Raw genomic sequence first — 19,150 nt, 5'->3', positions numbered from 1 at the left:
TCTTTGGGTATATTACAAAAAGGTATCCCCCTCTGGGTGGATCCAGGGCAGCTGGCACCCTGCTCAGCCTGCTGCTTGGGGCTGGGTCTCTGCCCCACAGATGAGCCCCCCAGTGCAGGGTGCAACTTGCAGAGCCATGGGTGGAGAGCAGAGGCTTCCGGAGGGGAAATGGCCTTTCATGTTTACGGTGTGGTTGACCATCTGGATGGAGGGCAGGGGACCGGGACAGAGGCGGAGGCTCTTTCCCCTGAGCAGGGGACAGGAAGGATCACCACCACTTTGACAGTTGCTGTTTCTGGCTGACCACAGGGTGGACCAACATCTATTACAGGTGACTGCAGAAGTGACTGGCCTCGAACCCCAGTGGAATTGCTTCATGTTAGTCTTTTTGGTTTTAAGTCAATTTTTGATGCAAGTAGAACAAACACACAGAAAAATGCACACACGTGTCATAAATTTCCAGGCCAGTGCATTTCAACGACTGACTAGACCCATGTGACTAACATCTAGGTCAGCAATCAGAATAGTACCAGCCTCCCTCCCTGGACTTTCCTGTGACCTCCCTCCCCAAACATAATCATTAACCTGGAATCTAACCCCACAGATTACGTTTGCCTGTTTTTTGAACCTTACACAAATGATTGCTAATAATATTTAGCCCTTTTATGTGGGACAGTTAGGTTTGGAAGCTGTATCATGCAGTTGTATTCCATTGTAGAAATACACAATTTATTTATCCATTATACTGTTAACGGGCATTCAGGCAGTTTGACTTTTCAACTTTTTTTTTCTGACTACAAAGATAATCAAATAGTCATTGTAAAAAAAAAAAAAAAGAAAAAAGTTCCCATTTTCCAACCTCATGGAGGGCTCCAGAGTCTCTCTGGGTTCTCAACATCCAGGCTTCCCTTCCTTCTTTCACTTCTTGGAGCTACTCTCACCAGCATCCACATCGCTGGGCCTTTGTCCCTACAGCTCAGCTCAGCCTCCTTACAATCCCCAACCCAGGCTAGTGTCCGCTCTGCCTTCCCACCCCAGCTCCACAGGCACTCAGGCTGCAGGAAAGCTGCTTCTGCACAGCCACAGCGCCAGGAACCTCTGCCTCCCTCTCCAGCTGGGCCTCGGGGCCTACCCTTCCACTTGCTTTGATCAGCTGCCTCACCTCTTGCAACCTCCTCTGGGCTTTTTGCAACCACTAGCCAGACACTCAGAAAATATCCTCAGCAGCTATTTCACTGAGGACAGTAGGGCCCAGAGCCCAGCGGCCTTCGCCTGCCTCCTGACCTTCCCATGTGCCAGTTGACAGGGCCTCCTCTCTCCCAAGGTCTGGCCCTGGACCCTCCTCCCCAGCCTCTCCAGGATTTGAGCCCTGCAGTCTTCTCCCTCGATCCAGAAATCCTCAACCCCTCTCCTCTCTAGGGCATCTTCCACTAAGGCTGCTAGTGGGCCACTCCTTCCTTCCCTCCTGGTGGCACCAATGCGCCCTCCACTCACCCCACAGCAGCAGCTTGTGCTGAGCTCACCAGCAGCCTTGCTAAATCCACAGGACACTGCTCAGGCCTCCAGCACATAATATTTAGGTGGCATTTGACATTGTCACCCATGCTCTCTGTTGAGACTTGTCCCTTAACTTCCTGGAGTGCCACTTTTCCTAATTGCTCTCTTTCTACACCCGACCCCACCACTTTTTCACCCTTTTTTAACCAGTCCCTCCACCTGCCTCTTAATGACAACTTTCTCCAAAATTCTGGGTTAATCTCTTTCCTTCTGGGGCTTTTCTCTTAAGACAGAATGTGGGAAACTCTCACACCTCTCCCATCCCTGGTCCCACCCTTCTCCCAGAATTCAGGCCTCCTATCCAGCCATTCTACCTAGAGGTCTCAGAAGGGCCTCAGAATCTCAGGGAGTTTCCTTTTGAATCAAAGCATATTAGAATTTTGCATTTAGGAAATAAGCCAACAAGTGTTTTCGCAATACAAGCTACCCAATGTAGAGCTCGGCAAAACCTTGGCAGATGGGCTGCAGAGCAAACAGCCTGTCCTTCCCGAGCCTCCAGGGCGCGAGTCATCCTAGGTGAGGTGCGCTTCCCAAAGTGCCTGAAAGGTGCATTAGAATTGCTGGCAGAGCATGAGGTTTTTCCATTTACGGAGAGGAAACCTGGATTTAAGAGGTTGAGAAACGACACTGGAGAGAAGGACTGTATCCGCCAGGGAGCCAGCAGGAGCCGAGACCCTACCAAACCAGGTATTTTTGGCAGAGCTCAGTGATCTGACTCTTTATCATGACAAAAGTTTGGACCTGCTGCCTTGAGTAGAAGACAACCTGAAAGAGCAAGGGTGTGCAAGGTGGGTAAAGAAGGTTCCATATACAATGAACAGACTCAGAGAGGGCAGCCAGGCCAGAGCCATGCCTTCCCCTGAGGGATGCAGGCAGCCCACGCCAGCCAGCAGGGAGATGCCTGGAGAGATATCTCTCCGACTTCATTCTCCTGGCGCAGCCAGTGCCTCTTCAATGCAAATGCAAGATATTGGGCACAGGGATCTTGCTGGGAACAGGCCCTGGAGAAGAATGTGAGAAAGAGCAGAAACAGGGGGACTATATCAGCACCATTCAAGACACCCAAGACAGACTGAGGATCGTCATGGACACTGCAGTAGGGACCAGGAAGTAAACTAGAAGGACCCAGTGACCTTCCTGGAGCCTTCGTCCCTTCCCCTTATTGACCCTCCTTTTGTATTGTCTGGACGAATTGCCAATGAAGCCCTCACTTGAAAGGGTCTGTGTGTTTGTACCACCGCAGGGAAGGCTAAGGGAAAGGCAGGGGTGGGCAGGATCCAGAGAGCCTGCCTTCCTCCCACCTCAATGCCATCCCTAAACTGTCTGAAAAGTGTCACCTGGCTAAGCAAGAAAGCCACTAGAGGCATGGGGTAAAGATGAAACAGGCAGGTCCCTGGGGGCTGGGTTTTTAAGGAGGAAGCAATCTGAGACAGAAAGATGATGTTTCAAAAATTTGTAAGGATAAGAGAAATGGTTTACCAAAAGCAAAACCCCAAAGCAGGGCTGAGCATGTGTGTTTCTGAGTGCAGAACTGTTACCAGTGGGGTGGTCAGAGGAGGCATGCTGGAACCTGTCTTATTGAATGCTATTTTCAATGGGGAAATGGGATACACAAAAGAGAAATGACAACAGTGGGTGGTTAGATTTTCAACCACAGGGAGAGAAGCTGCAGAAGGACCAGCCCAGGGCGCAGGGAAGTAGAAGACAGATTCCGAGTGGACAAGTGTAAGGTGTGGCCCTGAGATAAGGAGGAGGATCCGGGTGCCGCTGAGCACAGGAGGCCAATAGAATGATGGAGGACGAACAACCAAGCAAAATATAGCCTCATCTGACACTTCACCCAAGCAAGGTGTTTCCGCACAGGAAACCCACTCACTCTGTTGTCGGTGAAGCAAGATGTTACAAGGCTTTTTCTAGTCCAGAGAAGGGTGTCAGGCAGCTGGGGATGGGGGTGTTCTAGAAAGAAGAGGGCTGGGCTGAGCTGTGTGTAGCATCTATCCAGTCTTTTAAGGATATGTCGGCAGGGATCATGAATCAGCCTACGAATACTACAATATCAGGGCTAAGGCATCCCTTGGGCTGCAAGAACCCATTGAATAAAGCAGGTAAGCTCTTCTGTCTGTAGAGTATTCTATGCTAAAAATAAATTTGAAGAAGGGTTTAGATCCACTCAGAGAGAGCCCTATAAGGATAATGGAGGGAGCAGTGGGACCCCGCTGGGAGCTCAGCAGCAGAGAGGCCTAGTCCTGTGGCTGAACTGCAAGTCTGTCTTTAGTGCCCCTGCCCTGGCAGAAGCTCTAGCTATGGCCTTTCTTACAGCTCAGGCCACACAGTGTGCATAGCATTGCTAGCTGCAGGCTCTTCCTGTGTGTGGTGAATGAAAGGCAGGCAAAGGTTTGTGAAAAACCAGAATGGTTTCCAGGCAACTGTGAGACTGCTGGTCCCAGCAGAAAGCAGTGTGCACTCATGAGCTGAGCCCAAGGCTCCAGAATGGGCCGTGACCAAGGCCAAGCCCCGGGAGGGGTGGCTGGGGGGTGTGGCCAGGCAAAAAGTCACTCCACACTTCCAGTTCATGGCCCAGCCTCAAGACACACCTCCCAACCCCCAATAAACCACTGGTGCTATCTGCGAGGCCCTTCTGAGAACCCTAACTGCTCAAACCTCCAGCATTTGCGCAGTGGGGAGGTGGGGAGGAAAAAGGAAGGAGCCCTATTCTCCGCAACGGTGTCCCCTCTTTCTCCTCAAAGGAGCCCCTTGGAGTTTAACTGCAGGTGAGGTGAGCACACGTCCACGTTCCCACTCCCGACCTTGGAAGCAGATCCACTTCCAGGACTTTCTGCTTTCCACCCTTCCACCCTGGACCCTCTTCTAAGCAGCTTTGCACTTTCCCCGCCTGTAATTCTCCCCTACCATGACCTACTGCGGCTCCTCGGGGGCCACCTGCAGACTGGAAGAGTAGATCTTCCTTCCAGCGTCCTCTTTTCCCACCATTGTCTCATTCCCATGCCTCACTTCGTGTTCTCCTTCTCTCCCCTTCCCTGCTGGGAGAAGAAAGGGCAACACCCCATCACCTTCTGGCTGGCTTTCACCCAGCCCTGAGGGCATCCCAAAGGCTTTCCAGGACAAAAGGAGGAAAATATTTCCACCAGTGACTTTCCACACCCCCACAAATGGCTCCTGCCTCTAGCCATTCCAAAAAGACCATTCCAGACTCAGAGCAGCCCACCTGCCCAAGCGGATGTTAGGCGGAGAAGCCAAAGGCTCTAGGTCATCTCCAGCTTCCTTTGGAACCTAAAAAGCAGAACTTGATTGCAATTGTCATGCTGATGGACATGAGTGCATAGGGGACCTGCCACACCCACACCTCAAGGGACAGGGAATGAAGACCAGAATAGTCAAGCCAAATGACGAAGACCAGGATACTCAAGTCAAATGACAAGGTTGGTGGTAGAGGGAACGGGACCGGTGAAAAAGCAGCTGACACTAAAAAGTGGAGCCTCCATCTGAAAAGTAAAATGTGGGAGAGGGCCGGTGTGTCGAGGTGGAAGGAAAGGCAGCCTCCCTGAGAGCCACAGAGCGAGCCCAGGCCATCACCGCCCACCTCCACCCAGGCTCTTCTGCACCACTGACCCACCATTGCCCCCCGGACCTCTTCTTTCTCATGCCTCAGAGTGGCCCAACGACAGGAAGAAGCCATCAGAGGGACTGCTGCCGTCTAACGGGATCCCCTAAGACTTGGTGGAACCAGATGTGTCTAGTGATTGCCCTGCAGTAGCCCTGACTTCTTTGGGGGTCACATTTTCCTCGGGGTATGACTGTCTTCCAGCCCTGCCACTGTGTTCATCTACCTCTTCCCTCAGAAATGTCCTGGGGCTTCTGCTCCTCTGTGTTCACCATGTCTGGCTCCTCACGGAACCCTGTCTCTTGGCACTGTATCTGCTCCACCCGTTCCTCTTTAGCCTTCTTGTTTCTCTGTACTTGCATTCAGTGGGCGAGGGCCAAAATCCAGAGCTGGTCACAAAGGAGAGTGCCATAATCCTGGGGATAGAGCCTTGTGATATCTGAGGACAGATGTCCCCTGCTCTTTACCCTGCCCTTCCCCTTGGCTGGGTAGCAGCCTGTGAGCCCAGAGGGGATTGGGAAGGCAGGCCACGTTGCATGAGGAAGCCGCAGACACTCGCTTCCTGGCGTCTCTTCCCCTTATCCAAAACCTGTCTTTCCCTGAGGGTGGCTCCTCTTCCAAGTCTTCTGAAATTTACAGTAAGGCTCTTCTCTTTTCTATCTTCCCTCAGGCAAGGCCTCCAGGACTGTGCCTTACTGGCTTCTTTCCTCCCGCTCCTGACCATTCTAATTCCTCTTGGTGATGCTTCCTCTTCCTCTTGGAGCCCTCTCATGCCACATGACCATCTCCTTCCCATCTTCATCTATCAACAACCCGATGTACTTCCACATTTACATCCCCACAGGAGCTTATTAGAAGAATGCCTAGCACATAGTAGATGCTCAATAAATATTTGTTGAATGAATGAATGAATGGAGAGCTCTGGCCTCAGACTCACCAGTTTTATCTCTGCCCCATACGGCTCAGCCTAAACAATTGTATCAACCCCCAAGGGGACTTGTTGCTCATCTCCACTTCTGCAACCCATCCCCACAGCCAAACCTTGAACCCAGCATTACCTGTGGATCCCCCGCCTTGGCTTCCCACCACTCCCTTCTCTGGAAACATGTTATGGCTGCTCATCCCAACTTGAAGCCCTTCGGTTACATATCATGTTTTTCTCTACCTCATGGTCAATCTGTTTAAAACCCTTGGTTCCCTTTTCTTTATGCTGGGCTTGCCTTGCTGGTCTCCAGCCTTGGAACAGTGGAACCTTTCATTTTCTCAAGCCTTATACTGTAGCTCTGCTAAGAGAAAAATGCATAACTACCAGTTTCTTCCATCACAAATGTATAGTTCACAGCTCAGCAGGGCAGGGCCCCCTCTGCTGCTGCCTACCAGTCAGTTTTGCTAATTCATGCTGGCCCTTTTCCCCCAATTCCCAGAGTTTATCATTACCCTCAAACTCTCGTCCCTATCAGTTGACAACATCCACTCTTAGTTCACTGATAAACACCTCGGCCATCAATTGTGAACTCCCCCCTAGCCCTCCAGCCTCACGTCATCTGTCCATGTCTCCCATTACCTCCAATGTGCTCCTTGCCCTTTTGTAGGGTTATGCCTTTCCCTGGGCTTTGGGACATGCCAGCCTTTCTGCTTACCCCAGGCTGGCCCTGCAGCCAAGTATCCCTCTCCCCAGATTTATGTTAAGTTCCTTCTGCCCTCACCTCCCTCCCCGACAGCCTACCTCCCATTAGATTTAAACCTTCCCTCCACTACCCCCCTTCCTTAAGCTAGCGTCCTCTTTCAAAATTGCCATTTATCAGAATTATCTGGAGGATCTTCCCAATCTATGGAAGGCCCGCCCACCCTTCCTGTCCATTTCATCTGGCATAATTGGCCTCCTCTCCCACCAGCTCATGGGTCTCATCCCCCAGAGACTCAGTCCCCTCTTCGTTGCCACATCCTACAACCTTTCCTTTTCCTTTTTATTACAGAAGAAATCCATGTTTATTTCAAGAACACTGAAGAGTCAAATGTGTGAGTTCCTCTCACCCTGCCCTGAATGGTGTTAAAGGTGGAGCATGTGTCCTTCCAGAGTTTACTACACGCAAACATAATGTAGTTTTATGCACATAAGTAGGAGTTGGTTTCAAAAACATATATGAGATCCCAGTACACATATTATTCTGCAGCTTGCTTCATTTCAAGCCATGTACCAACATGGTTCCACATCAGATCAGTGTACATGCCCAGCCACACTCTGTGAGACTGCACTGCACCCCATTCTGTGGATGTGCCATGAGTGTAAGGGCTCCCCATTTAGCAGGCACTCAGGTTGTTCCCCGTGTTTTTAAACACTGCCAGGCTGCCACAACTATCCCTTTATGCTTATCCTCATGGCGTTCTGTATTATTTCTGTTGGAGAGAGTCTCAAAAATGGCTCTGCTTTTTATTTCTATTTAAATATTTTTTGTTAGATGGCCCTCCAGAAAGGCTGCACCAGCTTTAAAACCCTCGGTTCCCTTTTCTTTATGCTGGGTGTGCACTTTACCTCAGCCCTCGAGGGTGCCTCTGCCCACACCTGGGCCAGCACCCAATAACGTTTCCCTCGTGGCATCTGCAGCAACAGCCCTGCCCGCCCCTTCCAACTCTGCCCCCAGCCCCCAGCAATGGCACAGACATTTCTCGTTACGTTACTCCTTTGGTCTTCTTCTCGAACCTCCTCTCACTCCCCCTCCCCCGATACTGGGCCATCTTCCTCTGCCAGCCCTTCACTGTTGTTCTGTAAGTTTCTCTGGGTTTCCTCCCCCGTCACCTTTATGCCCATGACAGTCAGACGGGCCTCCCACTCCCTCTGCGCCTCATCCCTCTTCTCTCCCTGGGCCACCTCGCCTCGTGGTACAGGGCAGCCAAGTCATCCAAACCAACTGCCCAATGAACGAGGGCTACACAGGTGAGTGTGCGGAAAAGGAGAGAACTCACATCGACCCTGGCATTCATGCATTCTACAAATATTTATTGAGTACCTATTAAGTGCCAGAGGCCGGGAAAGATGTTCAGCTCAATTAGGTGAGGTCTGTCTTGGAGGCGAGGGAGACATTAATCAAATAATCACACAAATCAATGTTGGGTTTCAAATTGTGCTGGGTGCTATGAGGGAGTGGCTCACAGACATGTCCCTGGCAGCTGCCTTGCCTGAAGGAAACGTGTTATCCAGGGAATGGCATTGGAACTGAGACCTGAACAGAGGGCAGGGTTTGATCAGATGAAGCAGACGATGAAGAGCTCTCCATGTTGCTACAGCAGGCCTGGGCCAGAGGGCCGTGAGGCACTTCATAGAGGCCTTGAGAAGAGGTCTGGGAAGCCCGGGGTAGGACGGTAGGCGGTGGGGGAGAGGAACGTGTATTTATGAGACACGTGCTCTTGGCCCTGCCTGCATTTCTAGCCAATCTAGAAATAACAACAGGAAAGCACTCACTCCCGGCACTGGCCCCTCTGAGACCAGGAGACCTTGGGTTCAGCATGCACTGATGGAGAAGAAGCAGGATGCAGAGGCCTTTACCCCCTCTCTCACTGATTACATGGTTATAGCCCTACACTCTGCCTTTGCAGATGCCATGCTTACCCTTAGCTGGACACTCAGATGCCTCCTACCAGTAACTGGAGAGAGAAAGTAAGCCTCTGGGTCGCAGCAAGGGGGACAGGCAAGGGTCAGGACAGTTTGGCTTTTGACCAATCCACACTTGCCTAGCTAAGCCCACCTCTGGCTTCCAGAGGCATGCCCCCACCATGTCCGGGAATGTGTGTCAGGCAATGCTTTCTTGCTGGATGCATGGGGAAGGGTTCTAGTTTCTCATTCACTTCATGTGTTCTGCTCTTGGAGTAAGGGCACCTCTCAATAGAGGCTAAGAAATGCTGATCCCTGTGGATAAGAGAGCCACTTAACTTGGCCATCGGCCACTGAGCCCATCATCCATCTAAAGTCTCTCCAAATACTGGTCAGATGGAGGTTTCCACAGCTGCCATTCTAAATGACAGGACATGTGACCGAGTCTGGAGCCCCATCCCAGCTACCCCTCAGCCTTCCTTCCAGCCAAGGACAACCCACTCTGCCCAGAGAGGCCACATTGCCCTCCAGCCAAGGGACCCCCTCCTTTCCGCCCTAGGAAAGAAGTTCTGTCCTCTATCCCCAAGGAGACTGCATATCCTTCACCACCTCCACTGAAGTTTCTAATGTTAGATGGTCCTTCTCTTCACAGCACCTGCCCAAGTCTGTGTTTAGATGCCTCGAGCCTGATCCTTCCAACTAACATAGAAATGCCAAGGCCCGGCATACTTCCCTGGCCATCCTACACCCTTGTTGAAAGCCGGAGTCTCATGGACTTAAAAGTTCTTCAAAAATGAAGCCAGCTAGCTTCTACCCCCATGCCACAGCAGCCCTGCACAGATTAGTAAGCCCACTGTGACTCTGCTTAGTCCACCCTCCTGCCCATCCGCACTGATCACCAACCACTAAGCCCTGCCTGCGGGAGTCCAAGGAACTCACTAGGTCTCTGACTCAACCTCTAGTGAAGAGGGGGTTTCCCAGGAGTGAAGTACCTATGAGGGTTACTGCCCCTTCTTTCTGGATTTTGGCTCTGAAAGTGTGGAATAAGAGAGTGCACAGTGACTCTTCCACTTCTCAATCCAAGAGAACTCCATACAGTTCTGTTCTATTCCAATGACCTCTGATCAGAAGGAAAATGGCTATTGCAATAACATAGCACTGAGAGATTCTGAAAGAATCAAGCCAGGCCCTTTTGGAGATCAAAGCTTTCAGGAATTAATGCTCAGGTAATTCACGGAGAAAATGATGTGTGGGTAATTTCTGGAATCTTTTCACCTGGGCAGACACATGACTCCCACCAGAGCTCTCCCACCTGTTGCTTTGGGTGCCAGCCAGAAAGCATTGTCCCCGCCCGGGCTGGATTCTAGCCTTGGGTCAAACGGGCTACAGTGCCAATGAAGATGGTACTCAGCGACCTTGGTTCACCAGCAGAACCTGAGAAACCCTCTTCTACCTGAAAGGAGGAGCAGCCCCTTGAGGGCAGCACCTGCCAGTGAGTGTGGAGCCAGGCCACCCTGTCCTTACAAAACTCTTGCAATGTTTGATAGAGAGTAGACATCCGAGGGTATAAAGTACTTTTCCTGTGCATCTTCTCAATTCCCAGGTAGTCTCAGTGAGCTCGAACTATTCACCCAGAAAAGACAGTATGAACTAGCTTTACCCTGGGCCCCTGACCAGGCCTGGTGGTGGCAGCTCCAACTCCATGCAGACAGGAGCTGGGCTGCCCTACCTGGAGAAGCTAGCCACCTACTCTGCCCAGGAATGTCTTGGGTGTCCCCAGAAGGCCTGCTCCTTCCAAAGTTGAAAGCAATGGTGATCTGCTGAAGACACTGGAACTCCGCAGGAAACTGCTGAGCAAAGGAGGCAAGGAAAAGGATATTCTTGGAATATCCAGAAAACCAAGTCGGGAGGGAGATGCTTAAGGGAAGAGAAGGGGCTATCTCCTAGGGAGTGGTCTAGAATCTTCCCATCACTGACACCCAACTTCTGCCCATTATCGGAGGTGCATCTGTCCCTTGGTGAGGGACAGGTAAGGAGGACTCCAGCAGAGCCTCAGCAAACAAGAGCTGTCTGCCTGCTGCAGGGGAGGGTGTATGTGTGACAGGGAGGGTTGGAGAAGGGGCTGCCTTCCACCACTTGTAGTCCTAGGAATCCATGGACACCCTTATTGTGGCTGCGGGCCAGTGTTCCAGGGGCCCTTGTCCTGGGGTGGGAGGAAGGAGCTGTGAAGATGCCAGCCTACTAGGGACAGGGGTAGGACCAGGTGTGCAGCCTGGAACAAGGGACAGAGGGAGGAAGCAGCACCATCAGCACTTTTTCCTTAACACCTGGGTGTGGGTTTGGGTGTGCATTTCTTAGGCAAAGAGGCATCTCAGTGCATGTTTTAAGCTGCCATCTCCTCCTTTTAAGCCTCCTAGTTAATATCTGCTATGTGAATTATTTACTGGGAACAGATGTTAGAGTTTAAAGAGCACTGAGCAGAGATCTTTGGCTAATCAATTTATTTTAACAGGTTTAAGTCTTTACTACACACCCAATTGGAGATTTCCCTGCCACTGGAAGCCTGTGCTCCTACAAGCCTGTGTTACACATATTTCCAGCTCGCCCCAAGCTTGTTTCCTGCTCTTTAGCCCCTCCCCATCCTGGCCAAAGTGCCTCCTTCTCTTGGTATCCTATTTGATCTGCAGAAGTCTAATTTGACCTGGAGAAAGAATTTTTCCTCCTAACATCAGTCCTCAGGTTGGACTAAATGGTCACTCAGTGAGATCTGGCCATGTCCTTCTAGGCTTTGAGTCATGTTTGCTGAAGCCATGCCAGTAAAATATTTCTGGGATTGAGAAGAAGTCAGCCTGACATTTTAAACAAACAAGGGCTGCAAGACTAAAAGACCCATCTCTGCCTCTCCCCAGGGGCGTTTCTCACGGGGTGGGTAGGGAGGGCTTCGAAGCAGCCTGTGAAGTGTGGGCAGCTTGAAACACACGAGGCAGCAAATCCGAACAGGCAAAGGCCTCACTCTCCAGTGCAGTCTGGGAGGACTGATCAGGGAAGAACAGATCAGGGTGAAGAACAGAAAGGTGAGCTCTGATCCTGGAACTTCTTCCCTGCGCTCTGCCAGCTCCCACCTCGCCACCACCCTGGGTTCTGGAACCACGCCAAGCAGGGCAGAAACCGAAGTGCTTTTGGAAGTCCACAGGGATTCCCACACCCACCACAGCCCAATTTCATCTGCCCACAGTTGCTCCCTGAACTCAGTGGCTCTGCCGCAGCAGGGAGATGGTCTGAAGGACAGGCGTGGGGGCAGAAGAAGGTGAGTCACAGTGGGGTGATGCGCCTCACTACTAATCTATCTTCCCAACATCAATTCCACCCAGGGCCGTGGGCGAGGATCCCCTGGTGGTTCCGTACCATGAGGTTCTGTAGTTGCAGGGTGTGTTCTCCTCCTGCAAGTCCATCTTTACGCAGAAGGCTAAGGGAGGAGGTGGCCAAGAGGCTTGCTTCTGTTTTTGCCTGACCCCCCTGGGGTATCACTGTCCCAGGACCCCTTTTGACATAGCTATCTTATGTTTGGGGCTAAGGTTCATCTGTGGGTCCCACTGTAAATATTTATTGGAGACAAGTATCCAAGGAAGGAAGAAAACAGCAATAACTGAATATGTGGGTTTGCCACCCACAGGATGAGGCCAGGGAGGGTTTCTGTACAGGAACAGGTAGGTAGCTTGGGCTTGCAAGGGTCATACAAGGCGTGATGCCTTCAGACAGCTGACTCCCAAGTTCCATTTTCCCTGCACAGGTAAGGAACCATCACATACTTGACTTTGCCTCCCCAGAGGCCAACTGATGGGGAGGAATGGGCTTCCCTCGCTTCTTCTCAGGCAGAGCTGAGGTGACTGCATGGGGCTGGGGGCTCTGCCTCTCGCTGAAGTCCAGAAGAAAACATGCCTATGGCCTCAGACATGACAGAGTCTCCCTTGGCCTCGGCCAGTATTTGACAGTCTTAACCCCGCCTGTAGAGGTGCCTGTGAGAGGGGTTCTTGTTCCCAGCCCCTAACACAGATGCCATCAGGGACCACTGTCCAGAATTCTCTGATAGTTCTGGAGGGTTTTTGGAGCCCTAATCCCACTGTTTCTTTTCTGTTCTGCTTGTAACAGAGCTCATCTTCTGGGGACTTCTTTCAGTGGGCAAAGCAAGGGGTCATTGTCTGAGTGGGAGCCTGGGCCTCTGCCACATGGGCCAGGAAAAGCTCCCTAGGGTCCTTCTGCCCAGAGGGAATTTGGCCAGGCAGGTGAGGGAGAGTCTGCCTCCGAAGAGGGTCTGAGAAGCAGTCATATTGACCCAACCTTTGCGTGTGGCTTATTGACAGCATCAGCACCCATAGCCCTGATCCACGTCAGAGACTCCCCACTTCAAAGCTCTTAAAGCCCTCACAGCACACATGAGTTCCTGTGGTCCTGGGGCACCCAGTTGCCTCAGGTCTTTGCTAGGGTCTGTTTCCTGGGCCTTGTTGGGACCAAAGTTTCTGCCACAGCCAATGAAACAAGACCAAGAGGAGAACAGCACAGCATCCAGGGAAGGAGGGGGCCTGGAGGCCAACAAGGGCCATTGCCCCTGGTGGGCGGGCAGCTCCAGAGAGCACCAATGGCTGAGAGGCTCAAGTCCCCAGCAAGGCGGCAAGGCCCTTCACTTCTTTCCAAACCTAAGGCTCTATGCACCATCAGGACCATTTGATCCATGCAATTGGTTTCCACCTCAAAGACGTTTCCCTTTCAACTCTAAACTCGGCCGGGCAGGCAGGCTCAGGGCCCCTTTACTTTATGAAATTAACCAAGGCTGACTAGACAGGCAAGGATATGTAGTCTCCATACATTTTTTTTTAGGGAGCAAGAAGATACTTTTGTTGCCGGGGGGTCGGGGGGTGGGGGTCTTACGCCATGGCCCATAGACAATCGATGCCCACCCAGAAATACTCTGTGGTTCAGGAGGAGGGGAATTTCCTGCCGGCTCTTGCATTCCTCAAAGGTATATACAATTAGCTATACGTGTGAACAAATGGGGCCTTCTCAGGGGCCATTCTCCAGTAGTTAAAGCTCAAATTGATCTACTTCCTTGGATGCATTCTAAGATTTCACTTAGTTTCCCACCCTTTCTCTAACCCACTGCTGATGCAGATCCTATTTATGTGCCTCTGGTTCTGGTTCTGGACTTCTTTAACATCTAGTAAGTATGTGCATTGCCAGTGCCAACTATGTGTCAGTTCCATGCCAGGAGCTGCAGGAGGGCCCAGTGAGTAATGAGGCATTCCCTACCCTTTAGGGAGTCTGCTTTTGGGTTGGAAAAGCAGATAAACTTTAAGGGCACAGCACTGCCTCAGCGACCTTGCACGTATCCACATGTGCCACACAGGCAGTCTTGAACCACAGCTAATCTGAATCAAGGCCACAGGAGCAAGGCCTTGACATCCTGTGATCCTCCCAGACCACCAGAGGATGGGAGGCTGGAAGTCCTTGCTCTGAGGCCATCTCCTACTAGAACCTTCTCCCCTGGGAGGCTACCATGAGGCAGTTTCTTATCCTCTCTGGGTTCTAGCTAGAGAATATCACAATGGAAAGAACGACTTTCCAAATTTCAGGATGAAAAAACTGAGGCACGAATAGTCACACTGCTGGATTCAAGCCCTGGTACCCAGAACCTTTGGAACTCAGGGGCAGACTCAAATTTTCCTCTGGTTTATTATGCAAATGAAGGCATTCCTCTGGGTATCTTAGTAGAGAGCCAGTTAAGACCCCAAACTTCCCCTCTTCCCTTTGCTGACAGATTGCAGCACCCCTTTGCTGACAGATTGCCTGGTCAGGAACTGTCCCCCAAATGTAGTTGAGGACTGATAGCAAAAAGCTAATGAGACCACTGGTGCTGGGTGCCTTCTTGGAGCACGTCCCCTTCCTCTTCCCCTCCCCACCCTCCCCCATCCTGTCATCCTATGGCAGCCCCTCCTGTTATTATTTAATAGCCCTGGCTGGCACCTGCCCCCCAACTGGAGTTCATCAGTGTTGAAATCTGATAGAAGCCCATCCATTTTTTTGCTTTTCTCAACCCCCAGGCCCCTCTCTGGTGAGCAGCCACTGACTTCTGCTCTGTAAGAGCACGCTTTAATGCATTCTGAGTATCACACATTCTCCTTTTTGCCTCTTGCCACAGACCCCAAGGCATCTCCCCAAGATGACCACAGTTGTCCCTGAAGAAGCAGTCACAGCAAGCTCACTTCACAGGAACCAAGCTGTGGGCTGATCCTACAGACTTGAAAAGACAACTCAAAAAGGTATAAAGTTGCCAGATCCTCACCCCCAAAGTGTGGCACAATATTAACGCCTCTAGGCAGGCACGACTGCGTGCCTTCCATTTGGGGCGTGAGTCCTGCCTCCCTGGGCTGAGTGGCCTCCATGCCAACATGCTCTGACTAACGTGATGCCCCTGCAATGCCTGCGACCCTGCTGAGGCACAGCCCACCTCCTCTCCCTCTGGGACCAAGGGGTCGGCGAACTGAGAAGTTTTGGGGGTCTCCCTCCAGGTTTCTCAGCCTCCAGGAAAGCATCTCCCGGCCCCGCATCATCCCGCGTCCCCGGCCGAGGGCCCTTCTGGCAATCAAGGCCCGTATTCACCCTCAGAGAGGGAGTTACGGTTCTGCCAGCTCCAACCCTCTAAAGGCCGCGCGGCAGGACGGAGGCAGCCTTTAAGAACAGCAGTTACTCCAAGGCCGCAGCGCGTGGACAGCGGGCGTGTGGGGAGGGACCTGGTGGCCCTCTACGCCCCGGCCCCGCCCCCTCGCCCCGGCCCCGCCCCGGCCCCTCTCCCCACCCCGCGCCAGGCTGCCCCTGCCAACCCCGAGGGGGGAAGACTGTGCTCTGAGGTCCTCGGGGATGGTTGTTGCGGGCCTCGGCCTCCCTAGATTCCTTCCCATCTCCCCAACAGCAATCCTCCCAGGGCCATGGGCCAGGAACCCCTGGTGGTTCTGTATTCTGAGGTTCTGCAGACGCAGGGTGTAGTCTCCTGCGAGTCCATCTTGATTTGGAAGGCTGCGGGAGGAGGTGGCCGAGACCCCTTCCCTAGACCGCGAGGCAGGACGGAGGCAGCCGTTAGGAACGGCCCCACTCCACCAGCCGGCCCCGCGGGACGGTTACTCTGTTCCTGAGGTACCCCCCGAGGTGGGTGTATGGGGACCTCCGCCTCCCTAGACTTCTAGGCCAGGGGCGAGGATCACCTTAGAGGGTTTCCCCAGACGTCCCTGATTTCACATGTCCTGTCCTGCTGGCAGGCTGCGCCTTCTTTCTGCGCTTTGGGGAATGGTGCCTTCACGCACTTTGTAAAGGGTCTGGAACTGAGCTGAAGAGAAGTGATTGAGGGCTATTGTGGAAAGTCTCCGCTAATTCAGGTTTCTTCACCCACCAGATTGTCTGTGGGGTCAGAAACAGCTCTGGAGGGGTCTGCAGAAATTACTTTCCCAAGTCTTTGGGCTGGAAGGAACGAACAGTGCCTGACCAAGGACTTTGAGCAGGAGAGAGATGGGAGCAGAGAGGAGCCAAGGTCTACTATTTTCACTTCTGTCAATTAGATCAAAGCCCTGCCCAGAAGCTTTGAGCGCCGCTGTCAAGTCCCATTCCTCCCCTAAACCATCCAGGTTCCATCTGCCTTGAAGCCAAAGGATCTTCTTAGATTCCTCAAGAAAAATTCAGGCCCCGAGTTTCTCCACCAGCACTCTCCTCTCCCCGAAGGAGTGGGTGGGCTGCATTTCTCTTCATATTCTATTCCATTCCAGACCGTCTTGGACTACCAGCCTGTCCGCCACCCCTCGGGGCCCTCCCTCCTACTCTGCCCTTGCCCGCTGAGGTCCCAAGCTGAGGAGATGAGCCGAGCAGTAAAAAGAGAGGAGGTTTGGAAAAGCAATGTCCTCTCAGTCTTTAATAGGTGGCCCCCCTGGGAACCTGCTGGAAGTGGAAGTTAATAAGCTGAAGGTGGTCACAACCAATCTCTGCCACACTCGCACCCTACCCCACCCCAAATCATTCCTTTTAATTAATAGTGGAAGACCTTTTTAAAAATGTAACATGAATTGGCTATTTCTTGAGGCAAACAAAAGGTGGCTCTGAAGCGATATATTTGTACTCGTATAAATTCATTAAAATAGAAAGCTTATAACCATCCAGGTTTCACTGACAGCCCCAGTCCATCTACATGCAGAAATGGTCCCTCCAAAGCCCTCTACGACAATTATTCTCACAGATCGTCATGATAAACTGTAAGGGAATATACTAAGAAAGAGGGAAGAAGAGAGGAGGAGTCCATTTTTAATTAGTGGTTGGAAATAGAGTAAAAATTAGAGGGCCTTAGGTTTAAAACACAGATGTGCATTGTGATCGTCTGAAGGAAGAGCTGTTGACAGAGAAAACAAGGTGGTGAACTATGCCCTTGGCCTGTGACAGTTAGGTGAGGGTTGCTCACCGCAGAAGACAGACCGGTAGAGCCCAGCAGGAAAGAGGGTATCAGGCTGGAAGAAGTGCAGTTTGGCCCTGGCGGAGTGGTGGAGTGGCTGGAGCGACTGCAGGAGGAGGATAGATCTGGAAGCAGGTCTGGGCTATACTTTGGCCTCAGCCAGGGAGCCAGAGAAGGAAGGCTTGGGTTCGAGGGGGGAAATCATTCTCCCAAATTGCTTTCTCAGAAGCGCCAATTCAGATCACCTGAAGACAGGGTCTGGGCCCCATTACAGCATGGTTCCCAAATGGGAGTGTGCTTGGAAGCCTTGGTGATTAAAGGGTGCTGACTAAAAGAGTCAAACTCTGTAAAATATTTGAAGAGATTTATTCTGAGCCAAATATGAGTGACCATGGCCCATGACACAGCCCTCAGGAGACCCTGAGAACATGTGTTCAAGGTGGTCGGGGTACAGCTTGGTTTTATATGTTTTAGGAAGGCATGAGACTCAATCAAAGACATTTTAAAAATACATTGGTTTGGTTCAGAAAGGTGAGACAACTCAAAGTGGGGGCTTCCAGGCTATAGGTAAATTTAAACATTTTCTGACTGACAATTGGTTGGGTTTATCTGGAGACCTGGGATTAATGGAAAGGAAGGTTCATGTTAAGATACAGAACTGTGGGGACCAAGTTTTATTGTGCAGAGGAATCTCTCAGATAGCAGACTTCAGAGAGAGAGAGAGCAGGTTGTAAAATGTTTCTTATCGGACCTAAAAGGGTACCTGGCTCTTAGTTGATTATCTCCTGGATCTGGGAAGGAAGGAAGGAAAACAAAGGGGAAAGGAAATATTTCCTATAGAATATGGATTTTTCCCACAAGAGACTTTGCAGGACAATTTCGAGATATGGCAAGGAGATTTATTTTGGGGTAAAACATTTTGATTTTCTTCCTTGTTATGCCACAGTCAGATTGGAAAGTCAGTCATGATATACAGGGTCAGATAAAATCCGTCTGATGAGAATGTATGGTTGGTAGGGCATGACTCCCCAGACCCCTTAGATAGGAATCTGGGCAAGATAAAAAATCGGAGCTTAGTCCTCAAGGGAAGGGGCAGCAGCGCTGTTGGCGGGCTCACCAAGCATCAGTACTGGATCACCAGGCTTGGGAGAGTAGGGGTGTCAAGGCCCCAAGAGCAGGGAGGGCCTTGGCCCCACTAGGGGGGCATCAGAAAGCAGGGAGCACTTGTAGTTCACCATGATTCCCCTCAAAGCCCTGGGCCAGCCTCCTGCAGGGAAGGCGGGCAGGAAGTCTTCCCCATAGGGGCAGGCTTGCTTTTTTGGCCAGCCATCCTCTTCATATGAAAAACAGCATCTTGTCATTTCTAGATGTTTCTACTTTGGTTGACTCTTTAATTTTTCTGCAGTTAAAAGCCTTAAAACAGCAAGGAAGCAGGGGACAGGAGGGGAGCCCAGATCTCTCCCAAAGAAAAGGAGAAAGACTGAATCCTTGAGGCCTGCCGTACAAAGGAGTGGTGGGTTGGAGGAGGGTAGGCAGAGACTAGGGTGGTCTGGGACTTTAAGTACAAGGCCCCGTGGATTTCATTGGGGGGCAAGCCATGTGCAACAGGGAAGCTCAGGAACCGGGGGGTTTCGCACAGAGGTCTGGTGCTGTGAGGTACAGGGAAAGAATTAGTGGATCTGGACCAGTGGAACATTGGTTTAGTGTAATCTCTGATTTGTGTTGAGTGAATTTGAGTATAGTCCAACCACCACCCCCCTACCCCAACTAAACCATGTGCCCCTCAGGAGCTGGGACTCTTCTATTTTCTATTCCTTATAGCAGGCTCAGTGCCTGACACACTACGTTGAATTTTATTTTAAACATTTCATTTACATTAAATGGTATATTTGCAAGTTCA

At 51.4% G+C, this 19,150-nt stretch overlaps 3 long non-coding RNA genes and 1 other non-coding gene across 5 annotated transcripts in view, besides 2 other annotated features; 2 read left to right on the top strand and 2 right to left on the bottom strand.

Moving 5' to 3' along the window:
• The window catches only part of LOC105375026 (uncharacterized), a 25,072-nt gene extending 9,540 nt beyond the window's left edge, over positions 1-15,532 (bottom strand). For both annotated transcript variants that reach the window (NR_187841.1, NR_187840.1), the window contains exon 1: positions 15,271-15,532. This is a non-coding gene — a long non-coding RNA (uncharacterized LOC105375026). The remainder of the gene's footprint in view (positions 1-15,270) is intronic.
• LOC107986590 (uncharacterized) lies at positions 1,820-6,091 on the top strand. The gene is made up of 2 exons (XR_001744097.2): positions 1,820-3,662; positions 4,609-6,091. It is a non-coding gene; the product is annotated as an uncharacterized LOC107986590 (long non-coding RNA).
• Positions 3,553-3,602: an enhancer, noted in NCBI's record as "active region_24372". NCBI's record gives its function as "activates an Ori minimal core promoter by ATAC-STARR-seq in GM12878 lymphoblastoid cells {active_cell/tissue: GM12878}" and the evidence as "EXISTENCE:reporter gene assay evidence [ECO:0000049][PMID:35858748]".
• Positions 3,683-3,832: an enhancer, noted in NCBI's record as "active region_24371". NCBI's record gives its function as "activates an Ori minimal core promoter by ATAC-STARR-seq in GM12878 lymphoblastoid cells {active_cell/tissue: GM12878}" and the evidence as "EXISTENCE:reporter gene assay evidence [ECO:0000049][PMID:35858748]".
• On the bottom strand, positions 9,461-9,526 carry MIR7159 (microRNA 7159). The gene has a single exon (NR_106982.1). It is a non-coding gene; the product is annotated as a microRNA 7159 (primary transcript).
• On the top strand, positions 11,754-19,150 carry LINC01016 (long intergenic non-protein coding RNA 1016). Its single transcript, NR_038989.1, has 3 exons — positions 11,754-11,842; positions 14,962-15,082; positions 16,210-19,150. It is a non-coding gene; the product is annotated as a long intergenic non-protein coding RNA 1016 (long non-coding RNA).

The sequence above is a fragment of the Homo sapiens genome, chromosome 6 (genome assembly GCF_000001405.40).
Source record: "Homo sapiens chromosome 6, GRCh38.p14 Primary Assembly".
NCBI lineage: Eukaryota > Metazoa > Chordata > Mammalia > Primates > Hominidae > Homo > Homo sapiens.
This window is presented reverse-complemented; position numbering and strand designations above follow the sequence as displayed.